Here is a 14,104-nt window from a genome sequence, read left to right as displayed (position 1 = left end):
CTCTTTCAGCTTCTTGAGGCTGCCCAAATTCCCTGACCCATGGTATTCTTATTCCATCCAACCAGCTTCCTCCAGCCAGCAATAGTGGGCCAAGTTGTTTTCACATTGTATCTCTGACTGCAACTCCTCCATCCACCTTCCTCTTCCATTTTTAAGATCTCTTGTGATTACTTTGGGTCTACCTGTATAATTTAGGATAATCTCCTTACTTTAAGATCAGTTCCTAATCAACCTTAATTTCATGTTCAACTTTATTCCCCTTTGCCATGTAACCTAACATATCTTCTGGCCATTAGGAAATGGACATCTTTGGGGAGATATATTGTTTCTACCATGCAGAGTAGGCATTAAATTCTGAATAAATTACTTAGATTGACTCATTGTATTCATTAGTTAACTATTGAATCAGTCTAATTATGTGTGAATAGTTATATGATAGATATTAAAGCAAATTATCTGTTTGATAACCTATCTATTTAAGTGTGTTCCACATGATGAAATAAATAAAAGGAGTCATAATCCTGTGTGATTTGTGGCTAGAAGAAGCAAAACTATTTTTCAAAATGCTTACATAAAATAAAATTCTTACAGCATGTTGAAAGCATTTTTAAAGATTTTCAAAATATCTCAATATTTTTGGGTTCATTTATTCTTTGAAATAAATGGAAAATACACAAGCAAGAGAAAATATTACTACCTCTGTATTACAGATAAGGAAACAGAAGCTCATAGAGTTTAAGAAACTGACAATATAATAAAAAAGGATGATTTAATCTTTTCAGACTTTCCACAGAACTAATTCTATTAAAAGCTGAGTCTGGCAAATGCTTGGCTTGCCTTACAGTCAATTTAATCTCTTAGAAGCTAGAGAGAATTATGAGAGGGATTATTCTATACTTAATTCCAGCCAATGAAAAGTAACTGGCAGGGAAGTTGAAATGACAGAAAATCTAACATAAATTCAATCTAAACTCTTAAAATTTATTATTGTTGAGGATGCTTACTTTGGTCTAGTCGAATAAACAGCCTTCAACAGGAAAAGTTTTTTTAAAAACTTTAACTTAATAGAGATAAATAAAAACAAAATGCTTACTGAAATTTACTCATTTATGGGACAACATAGAATTAATTAATAGGAAACATATTAATGATAATGGATTACTTTAAGAAATAAAATTCTAAAGAGGTGATCACAAATAATCTTAAGAAAGAAAAAAACAGTAATAGTATTTAAGGAGCCAGTCATTGAAGGTATTGTAATAAAATACATAAAAGATGACACAGAAAGTATGCTAATTAAATGTAATTATAACAAATTGGCAGCAAGCTATGAAAACTTTTGTAAAGCAAAACTAGCATGATATGATTCTTGTGAAAAAGTATTAAATGACATATAGTGGTCTCTTAAATTATATTTATTATAAGACAAGAAATGCTAAAATCAATGCTCAGTTTACTTTATGATAATGCTTCATTGCTAACACATCATCAAAAATTATACAAATTTTCAGCTTTTTCTGGCAAGGTGAATGGCTACCCCAAACAACAAAATTTGACTCAACATTGGTAAAAGTGATATGAAGTCTAAGATAAGAAAGAAGATTTTTAGAAAGGATAATTTTAGAGAGCACTTAGTTGCTCTATAAAAATGTAAATCTCTTGGCCTGGATAACATCCATTCAAGAATGCTGAGAAAGAAATTGAAGATGAAATCTCTGAATAGCTGTCAATTTTCTTGGAAATATTAGGAAGAGAAGGAGAAGGCCTGGGAGACAGGATAAAATGATGGCACAACTTTCATGAAGGGAATATGGTAACTTTTCTTAAATTATAAAAGGTGATGTAGGGTAAGGTGATGTACAAAAGCAATAATTATTAAAATTTGATATTTATTATTATTTAGAAAATGTCATTTCTTTAAGAGAAAAAGCTTCTCATTAGTAAAAGAAAATAAATGTAAGTGTTTGCCCTTTAAGTGATACACCCAAAATAATACAGTGCAAAAGGGTGGATAAAGGACATGGTAAAAATATGCCATGGAAAAGCTAGTATAAGCAATACACACTGGTATACCAATATAATTATCGGATAAAATAGAATATGAGGCAGAAAGCAATCCATGGGGGAAACTGGTATAAAAGGCAAAATTCAATATACTAGTCTTTAATTTTTATTCTATGTGCTCTACGTGCTTATTGAAAATAATTAAACATTCCACTTTAGTATTCTATAAGACTTCCACTTGAAATCTGTAGCGATATAGTGGTTATTCAAACACTAGTGCTAGAAATACTGGTTATTCTAGTTGGCTATGAAACATTCCATATTGTTTTCTATAGCAGCTGCATCCGTTTATATTCCAAACAATAGTGTACAATAGCTCTAATGGCTTCACATTCTTATTACTTGTTATCTTTGTAGATAGATAGATAGATAGATAGATAGATAGATAGATAGACATAATAACCACCTTCACAAGTGAGAGATGATATCTAATTGCAGTTTTGATTTTCATTTCCCTAACATTTAGTAATGTTGAGCATCTTCTCATAGAAATGGTAGCCATTTCTATGTCTTCTTTGGAGAAATGTCTATCTAAACCCTCTGCCCACTTATAAATCAAGTGATTTCTTTTCTGTGATTGGGTTTTAGGAATTCTTGGCATATTTTGGATACCGATCCCCTATAAGATATAGTTTGCAAATATGTCCTCTAAATCCATAGGTCGCCATTTTACTCCGTTAATTGTTCATTTGCTGTGTAGAAGTTTTTAGTTTGATGTTGTCTCACTTGTCTAATTTTACTTTTGTTGCTTGTGCTTTTACTATCATATTCAAGAAACTATTGCTTAGCCCAATGACCTGAAGCATTTTCCCTATATTTCTATCTAGGAATTTTATAATTTGATGGACCGCATTAACAAAACGAAGACTAAAACTCACATGATCATTTGAATAGATGTAGAAATGGGATTTAACAAAATTCAGTACATTTCATGATCTTAAAAAAACTCTCAATAACTAGGTATAAAAGGAAATTTCCTCGACATAATAAAGGTTACTTATAAAAACCCACAGCTAACATACTCAACTGTGAAAAATGGAAAGGTTTTTCTCTGAAACCAGTAACACAGAAAAGAAGTTCACACTCACAAAGTCTATTCAACACAGTACTGGAAGTCCTGGAAAGAGCAATTAGGCAAGAAAAATAAATAAAAGGCATTTGAATTGGAAAAGAAGTAAAATTACCTCTGTTTGCAGATGACATTATCTTTTATGTAGACAATCCTAAAGACACCATTAAAAAAACTCTTAGAACAAATAAATTCAGTAAAGTTGCAGGATACAAAACCAACATACAAAATTCAGCTGTATTTCTATACATACATAATAAATGATATGAAAATGAAATTTTAAAAATTCATATACAATAGCATCAAAAGGAATAACATACTTAAGTATTTCAGGGAGGTGAAAGACTTTTGCAATGAAAACTACAAAGTATTGATGAAATAAATCAAAACAGACATAAATAAATGGAAGACACCCATGTTCATGCATCAGAGGACTTAATATTGTTAAAATGTCCATAAGTACCCAAAGTGTCATACAGGTTCCATGCAATTTCTATCAAAATCCTCGTGGCATTTTTACAGAAATAGAAAAAAGAAATATAAATTTAACAAAGAACCACAAAAGACCCCAAATAGCCAAAATGATCTTGAGAAAGAAGAACAAAGCTGAAGGCATCATACTTCCTGATTTCAAAACATATAACAAAGCAATAGAAATTAAAACATTATGGAACTGACATAAAGACAGACATATAGATCAATGCAACAAAGTAGAGAGTAAAAAAAATCCATATAGTCAGCTAATTTTTAACAAGGGTGCCAAGAACACACAATGGGGAAAGGATAGTGTTTAATATTTGATAATAGAAAAACTGGATATCTACAGGCTAAAGAATGAAATTGGGCTCGTATCTTACACCATACTCAAAATCAACTCAAAAGATTAAAGATTTAAAAATAATACCACATGAATAATTTGTAAAATTGGTTTTTCTAAAATTATAGCAAAAGTGGAAGTAGTATTTTTATGTATAGAAATGAATCAAGTAGTCAATAAATACTTGTTATGGAAATAATATGTTCTAGATAACAGTTCCTGGAGCTGTAATGATAAGCAAAACAGACATAGTCCCTGACTTATTACCCATAATGGCTTTCCTGGAGTTGAGGACTGTGGGACTTGTAAAAATCGAGTCTAGTAATGCAACAATGTCTCTGACTAACATGCTGAACCTCATAATATTGAAGTTTATTGTTTGCCTTTAAGGTTATTTTACTTTAAAACACATGAGTACTGTAGTATTTATAAATGTAGATTATATAGGTCTACATTTATCTATAATATAAGCATATTGTATCTGCAAATAGAAAATTGTCTTTGTAAATTATATATGAATTTTTAAAAGCTATGTGTCTAGAAACCAGCAAGTATACATAAAAAACCTTTTGTAATACTCTAAGCAATATTAGCCTATTGATTTTAAATGATTGCTTACTGATCACTTAGATTGCATTTGCTGAAAGATTATGCTTCATATATGTAATAAATCCATTTTCACATATTCATATTTATTTACTAATCAGGTATTTATTTTAAAACATTAGATTGTTATTCTACCTTTTCACAATGCTATTTACATAATATTTATGTTTTTAATTTATTAACTTCTAATGTTAACAAAATGCAATAATTTGTGTACATATTTTAAAATTAAAATAACATGGAGCTTAAAACAACACAGCAATATTCTGGCCCAGATTCCCCTTTTCTAGGGACAAGCACTTTTAACTCCTTTAAATCTCATTGGTGGTATTTACTTTCATATTTTTATGTAACATGCTTACATGTATCTTAAATATATTATAGTTTTATGTATTATTGTTTAACATCCTATATTGTACATATAGGAAGAGTTATGCAACTCTTGCACCTCCCTCTGTGTGAATGCATGCATGCACACACATGTGCTCTCACATGACTTTGCACTCTCTCTCCTAAATTATGATGATATATTTCACACAGCTGACTTTAACAGGAAACTATGCCTGCATTTCTATTTTTAAATTTTTAAATGGAAAATTTTATTGATAAAATTATAGATGACATACAGCTCTAAGAAGAAACAGAGAGTTCCATTATATGCTTTGCCCAGCTTTTCCCAATTCTAATATTTTGTAAAACAACAGTGTGATATCATAAAAAGTATATTCACCTAAAGATGATCCACCCATTTTATTCAGATTTCCCCAATTATACTTATACTCATTTGTCTATATGTGTGTGTGAGTGTTACATTCTACAGAATTTTCTATATCATATGTGTAGGCTCCCAATTCATTACCACAGTCAATGTTGCTGTTTTGTAACCATGCCTGCTTCTCTCTAGTCTCTCTAGTCCCCCTGACTGGTCCCTTCTCTAACTTCTGACAATGACTAATTTGTCCTCTACACAAAATTTCCTTCATTTTTGAAAATGTTATACAAATTGAATCATATAGTATATTACCTTTCTATTGACTTTAATCACTCAGCTTAATTCCCTGGAGATTCACCCAGATGTGTACATGAATAATTTATTTTTTAAATTATTGAGTATTATTCTATAGTATGTATGGACCACGGTTTGTTTAACCATTCTTGCTCTGAAGGACATCAGGACAATTCTGCTTCTTGGTTATTACGAATAAAGCTGCTTTGAACATTCATGTACAGGTTTTGTGTGAATGAAAGTTTTTAATCATCTGGGATAAACGGCCAGAGGTGTAATTGCTGAGTCACAAAATTATGGCATGCAAAGTGTTTTAAAAAACTGCCAAATTGTTTTCCAGAATGGTTGTGCCATTTTACATTCCAGTCAGCAATATGGAGTAATCCAGTTTGTATCCTCACCATCACTATGTCATATCACTATGTATTATCTTAGTTATCTTGATAGGTGTGTAGTGAGACATTTCTTCATATATACATATATATATGCTTACTATAATTGATGCTAAAGGTATATATATATAAATATATATTTGCTTTCTTTGAAAACAATGTTAGTTTCATTTACATACATTTAATTTCCAACTTTTAAATCACCTGCTTACCCACAATTTTTCTTTCACACATACCTGATGATTTACTAACATTTTTCTTCTTTTAGAAATCATCAGTAGAAACCATAATCTTTCTCCTCTCATGTGGATTATTTGCTTTCTAGTGCTGTGTATAGCTGACATTCTGTACTTCCCTTGATTTCATATTATGAATTCCTTTACCTCTTTTGGGTTGGAGATCCAGTTTTCAAGAGCCCATATTTTCTCTTCCCATTTTATTCTCTCATTTTGATTGAGTACACTTTCCTAGGATTTTTGAGATAGGTGACTTTGAAAGTAAATTTGAGGGGATTTTTATACCTAAAAATGTTTTTATTATGGTCTCACATTTCAGTGAGAATTAGTTGAGTCCCTCAAAATTGGAAGATTATTCTCCACTGTTTTCTAGCTTCCAATTCTGCTTCTTTATCTGTATCCTCCCCCTCCGTTTCTAGTAGCATTTAGAATCTTCTAATCTTTGGCAATATAAAATATAGTAATGTTGCTTTGGTTTGGTTCTCTATTAATTGTTTTTGTTTTTCTGTCAGAACAAGACCTTTTCTGAATATGTAGTGAAATGTGGCTGTCTAAAAAGAGAAAGATCCTGAGGAACTAATTAGAAGCTCTGTTTGTTGTAGAGGCTTGTTGACAGCTAGGCCTCACTTAGTGTGACCAGACTAGCTTGTTATATTGGGGAATTCCCAAATATGAATACCTATAGGTATTTTCTTTTGAGCTGCTTAGTTTCTCCAAAAACCTCCTGTTTCCTGTTTAGTACATATAAGCTGGTGTTCTAGGAGTTCAGAAAAGGAAAGCTGTGTTTGTATGAGGAGCTCATCATCAGTATGAAGATTTTCACTGAATCCTGTTTTCAGCCTCACTTCTCCCCACAGCAGGACCTCTTTTTCCCTAAGCCAGAATCTATCTTTTAACCTCTCCAGAGAGTAAACATCTTCTGAAAGAAGAGCAAAAGTGTATTTGACTGATTTCGTGGGCTGTGGAAGGATTTCTGGTTTTCTAATAACTTCCTTAAAAGAATTTTACATAATCTTGAGTCTCTATCCTTGAGTCTCCATCCCTGCCTATGGGTTTATGGTACTTAAAGTTTTTAACCCTTATGCTTATTTCTTCTTTACTCTTTCTCCTGTAATATAAGTCAGTTACTACTGGTTCATGTGCTTTCTAGCTTATAAAAATTCAGTAAACCACTTGTTTCCAATATTTTCATTTTTAAAAAATTTTTGGCCTGATGAATTGATGCCATTCTTGATCCTTTATGACTATTAATGTGGGATTTTATAAGCAGTGGAGAGAAATGCATACATTCAATTCTATATAACCAGAAGTTACTCATTATTTTGTAGAACCTGCATTAAACATTACACATACAATGCAATTTCAGTGCATTATACATTGAAAATCATAAATCATCTTGTTACGAAACAGTCTTTCACAGACCATTTAATGGCTCTTGATCTCAGGTTCTACGTGGTGTCACTGATTGCTAGCTAACATTTAAGTTTCAATTTTAATATCAGAATTCTAATGATATTTCCAGTAATTGATGCTAAAGGTATATAGTGTTATTTTGTTGTTGCTGTTTTAATTTTTAGGATAAATTGGAAACAGACAGTATAATGAAGAGCAACCAAAACAGTTTTCCATAATTGTTGAAACATTACAGGTTAGATAGATGGATTTGAGAAATAAAACATGTCTTCATATTATTAAGACTTATTTTTAAAATGTGTGCACAATGGAAAAAATTGTAGACAAATATGTGTCTTTAGTTCCTTTTTTTACATTTCTAAAAGTAACATAAAAGATCTAGAATAAGCTAAATCCGTATCTCATAAATTAAATCTAATGATGCTGCATTAGAAAGAAGAGATGGTATCAGCACACCAGACACTTTAACATTTTCTGAAATATTATAGGTGTGAGCCACTGCATCCTGTCCAGTAAATTTTAATAACTAATGAATTCATTAAAAAAATAAGAGGAAGAAAGAAGGAAACAATGAAATATGGGCAAAAATTCTGAGAAAGTGTCCAATAAAGGGAAAGCCAGAATGACCATATAAGAGGAAATACATTTTTAAAAGGCTTTATGTAATATAATTTTAAGGTATTTATTTCCTTATCATAAAACTATTTAATAGATATGTTTAGGGAACAGATAGGAAATTTGATAAGTGACTCTTGAGGTACCTTTCAGATCTGAGATTGTTATTCTAGGATTCTTCTTTCTGAATAGCATTCTTTTTGCTATACTATTTAGTTACTAGAGATTCCCTTACGATAATACACAGGGCATTTATAATATCTGCCAAATTTACATAGTGCTAAAAAGAAAATCTGGAATCTATAAAATAAAATATTATCATGTATGACTCCGGATTATATGGACACCTGTGCATTCTTCATTTTTATATGAAAGGAATTCCAATATGGAAATAGGGACAGTTACAGTTCTCAGGAGTGAATACAATCTTAAAGGATATAAGAATCAACTATAATCGTGGTGAAAGAAGGGAGTTTTTGAGTCAAGAAAATGGTTTGTGGGCACTCTCTATAGTTGAAGTATAGGATACATTTGTATAACCTGAAAGTATGTGTAGTGGAGCCTTTTTCTTGTGTTTGCTACCTAAGATAAATTATTTTTAAGAGAGGCACAATAACTTCCTTACACTATCTCCCCAATCCCTTATCTGCAGAATTTGAATACTTCCTGTAACTTAAGTTATGGACCTGATTGTATATTCCTAGGGATTTTTCCATACCAGATACCCAACTTGTGTATAACTATGATCCCAGCTCCATATGTTCTGTAGCAAGTTTCTCTTTGCAAAAATTGTGGCCTATGCAAAAATTATTTGCAAAGTTATGAAACTATTGACACAAGAGCCCTGAATATGCCCTGAATATCCCATGAAAGAAAACTAGGAACTCTACCAAAATGCAAAATTGTTTCTATCTATATGATAAAGCATGGGGTTTGAGTAATATCCTTTTTAATAGGTACCTGAGTTGATTGTAGTGTGTACACTACAGAGTGAAAGCAAGTGATAGAGATCATTCCATCTGAGGAAATAATAAAATCTATTCCTGATCTACATTCCACATGGCCCAATGGCAAGAGAGTCATTTGCTTATGGTCACATGTAATAAATATAAGTAGTGCTTGGGATGTTAACTTTCAAGAATCATTTCTAAAAGTATGCTTATTTGCAAAGTTATGAGACTACTGACACAAGAACCACTGGTCTACACATAATGGTAGAAAATGAAATGATAAGAGAAGATATGAAATTACACAGAAGAAAACAGTGGACTAAAATAAAATAAGGTCAAGAACAGATATTTGCAAACTACCAACTTTAAACAAAAAAAGGAATAAAATATGCTAAAAGAGACTGAGTGACATTGTGAGATTTCAATCAAAGAGCAAGGGAAGATTGGTATTTTGAAGGAGAGGAAGTAAGAGCGTAGAGATGAATATAATTGAATAACCGTTACATGACAGACATCACGATAAGGAAGAGAAAATTCACAGATTAACTACTGTGATATCAAATATCACAGAGAAGTTTAATAGAAGTAGAAATGAAAGGAGCTGTTTTGGTAAATAAGAGGTGTTTTTTATACATAATAAGATCAATATTATATCATCAACTAATATTTGTGCCAGGTATTGTTTTGTATACTGCCATACTGCCCTTGAGAGACTCACTTTTATTGGGAAATTGGATCAATAAACAGAAGTGACCTTTGTGATCAGTAAATTTGATAATAAACAAGTAACTTTGGAACTATGGAAACAAAATATCAGGTACCTATGTTTCAGTAATTAGGAAAATTTGCAAGCATCCTTGATTTGTTCTTTCTATTATTCTCTTCATCCATAATGATCACTATGTATGCCCATTTTAGTCATCTAAATATATTTGTCATTCGTCCACTCGTTTCCACACTCAGTCTATTTTCACTATTTATCTGTGTTACTACAGTGTCCTCTAAACCAGTCTCTCTTTCTTCAAATTGTCTCCACATGATCAAATCTCCGGAGAGGTGCCAAAATAATATTTCTAAAACAAATCTAATTGTATCACATACTTAATTAAAATTATTCAGTAGTTCTTTATAGGCTTTAGACTAAGTACCAAAACACACAAAGCTTTTTATCACCCTGTCTTGCTTGCTTCATGCAATCATGGAAATCTGATCAGCTCTATACTACAACATCTGTTGTGTATTGATATGGTTTGGCTCTGTGTCCCCACCCAAATCTCACGTGGAATTGTGATCCCAAGTATTGAAGGAGGGGCCTGGTGGGAAGTGATTTAATCATGGGACTTGATTGGATCATGGTGGGACTTCCCCCTTGCTGTTCTCTTGGTAGATTTCTCAGGCTATCTGGTTGTTTGAAAGTGTGTAGCACTTTCCCCTTCACTCTCTCTCTCTCCTGCTCCACCATGGTAAGATGTGTTTGCTTCCATTTTGCCTTCCACCATGATTGTAAGTTTCCTGAGGCCTTCCATCCATGCTTCCCATACAGCATGTGGAACTGAGTCAATTAAACCTCTTTTTTTTTTTTTTTTTTTCATAAATTAACCAATCTCAGGTAGTTCTTTACAGCAGTGTTAGAACAGACTAATACACACATTGGTTTAATTTCTGTACATTTTTGCCTGTTCTATCTTCTTTAGTTAGCTGCCTTTTAGTTCTGTTTGCTTATGTTTTACAACAATGCTGAACAGAAAACAATGCATGATTGTTGATGAATTGAATATATGAGTACATAAAAACCTGTAGAAATGTTTACTTTTGTTTATGTGGCAAAATAAATAATAATTTATTTAAAATCCTGTTAGTGAAAACATAAAATACATTGACTAAAGACTGAAAAAGTAAAATACTTTATAAGCATACCTTTGTAATAATTTTCATAGCTTATTTTCCTCCACATCATTTTTAATTTTAAATACATGCCTTATCAATTCTTTACATAATCTTTGAAGTGGGAAAAAATGAGAGGCAACATCCTTTTGAAACCATATTGCCCCTGGACAAGGTCTTTAAACTACTCATCCAACAAAGGACTAATATCCAGATTCTTTAAGAAACTTAAACAAATCAACAAGAAAAAATCCCCATTAAAAACTGGGCAAAGGGCATGAATAGATACTTTTTAATAGAAGACATACAAGCAGCTAACAAACATAAAAAATTGATCAACATCACTAATCATTAGAGATACAAATCAAAACCACAATGAGATACCATCTCACATGAGTCAGAATGGCTATTATTAAAAAGTCAAAAAATAACAGATATTGGTAAGGTTGTAGAGAATGCTTAGACACTGTTGGTGGCCAAAGAGTGCAAATTTGCTCAGCCCCTGTGGAAAGCAGTATGGAGATTTCTCAAAGAACTCAAAGTGAATTACCATTTGACCTAGCAATCTCATTATTGCATATATACCCAAGAAAAATAAATTGTTCTACCAAAAAGACACCTATACTCATATGTTTATCATAGTATTATTCACAATAGTAAGGACATGGAATCAATCCAGGTGCCTGTCAATGGTGAATTGAATAAAGAAAATGTGGTACATACACACCATGGAATATTACGCAGCCACAAAAAATAATGAAATCTTGCCCTTTGCAACAACATGAATGTAGCTGGAGGCAATCATCCTAAGTGAATTAACCCAGAGGCAGAAAACCAAATACTGCATGTTCTCACTTATAAGTGAAAGCTAAACACTGGGCACACAAGGACACAAAGATGGGAACAATAGATACTGAAGACCCCAAAAGCAGGAAAGGAAGAAGAGAAGCTCAGGTTGAAAAGCTACCTATCAAGTTCTGTGTTTGCTACTTGGGTGATGAGATCATTAGAAGCCCAAACTTCAGCATCACTCAAGATACCCATGTAGCAAACCAGCACATGTACCTTGTGAATCTAAAATAAAAAATCAAAATAATTTTTAAAAGACTCTTACTCAGAGTCCAGTCAGCAGATTAATTTAGCTGAAATATCCCAAAAGACTATGGCATACAATAGTCTGTCCCTGGAGAAAATTTTGGAACTGCAGTAGAAACTTCAAACAAGAAAAAGGTACTTCCTAAGATTTTTCCATCCACATTACTACGACTTCCAAATAACTTAAGGAATAGAGCAGCTCTGAACTGCTTTGCCTAGAATGTAACAGGCATTCTGTCTTCATCCTCTAAAGTCCCAATCTTCTTTCAGTATTCTAAGCTGATAGTTTGAAAGGCAAAAGATCACACTCAGTCCCATATGTTCCTCCCATCCCCTCATATCGTCCCATCATATAAAGAATACTTAAATGCTCTTTACTTTTTACATCCATAGTTATAGCCTGACATAAATACATTTTTTAAAAAGAAATATAAACAATTCCCACTGATTATGTTAGTGGCTGCAAACCTTAGGTAAGTAACTTTATTAGTTCTTATAAATTTCCTGGTTAATATTCTAAGATAAATGTCTCATGACAGGGTTTGATATATTATCAGAAAGTGGTGATTTTCAGGTATGACCACACTCCAGAATGTTTATTGAATATCTTCTAATTTTTTAAGTGTTAAGGAAGAAAGTGACAATATAGATGATGGCAATGAAATAAATATCAACTTAAAATATATAACATACTTATTGTGGTGCAATCTCTATGGAAAATAGTATAGTGGTTTCTAAAAATATTAAAAATGAAGTTGTGATTCAGCAATTCCACTTCTGGGTGTATTTCCAAAATAATGAAAAGCAGGGTCTTGAATAGATATTTCCACACCCATTTATTTCACAGCAACAGTACTCATATCAACCATATGGTGGAAACAAGCCAAATGTCCATCATCAGCTGAATGAATCCACAAAATGAATTTTCATTCATCAGATGAATGAATCCAAATGTCTATCATCAGATGAATGAATCCACAAAACACACACACAATGTAATATTATTCAGTCTTAAAAAGGAAATAAATCATGTCACCTAATATAACATGTATAAAACCTGAGGATACTAGGCTAGGCTAAATAAACCAATCACAAAAAGACAAATATGGAATAATTCTACTTATGTGAGGTATCTAAATAGTGAAATTCATAGAAACAGAAAGTAGAGTAGTGTTTACCAGGGACTGCAGGGATGGGGAAATGGGGAATTGTTGCTTTGTTGGTATAGAGTTTCAATTTTGCTAGATAAAAATGTTCTGAGGATCTGTTATACAAAAACGTGAATATACTTAATACCATTGAATTGCATCTTAAAGATGGCCAAGATAGTAAATTTTATATTATGTGTTTTTACCACAATTAAAAATTTAAAATACATATAATGTACATAGAAATGTATAGAACACACAGAAGAATCCACAAATTAAAATATAAGAGTTGAATAGGACCTCAAGTAGCATTTAATCCAACATTTGTTATTCTTACTCATTAAAAAACTATCACAGAGGATGAAATGTGCTTTACAGAAGAGCATATAGCTATTTAGTGGATAAATTAGGTCCAAAATCAGATCTCTTGATATGGTGCAGAGCTCCCTATACCTCATTAAGATGACATTTCCTTATTTTCAGTACTTTTTAATATTTAAACCAAACAAGCCATATGTAACTTTCCACCTGAAATAGATTTTAGGCATATTAAACACAATTTATTTTATGTAATTTTTATGTTTCTTATGTGCGAAATCTTTATAAAATATCTTTGCTCATTTTTCTACCATTTCAGTGTAACGTGAAAAGCAGTTATTTTTGCTGTAGTAATTTTGCAACAGAACTCATTGCTTCCTTGGACATGTTTGTTCTAAGTTAATTATTTCTATTCCTTTGGCATAATTCATAAGAAAGCGAGCTTCATCATGTCAGGTATTTACCTACTGAAGCTCATTTCCCTCCCTTCT

Source organism: Homo sapiens, chromosome 2 (assembly GCF_000001405.40).
Source record: "Homo sapiens chromosome 2, GRCh38.p14 Primary Assembly".
Classification (NCBI taxonomy): Eukaryota; Metazoa; Chordata; class Mammalia; order Primates; family Hominidae; genus Homo; species Homo sapiens.
The sequence above is the reverse complement of the archived record's forward strand: the minus strand, read 5'-3'. Positions refer to the sequence as shown.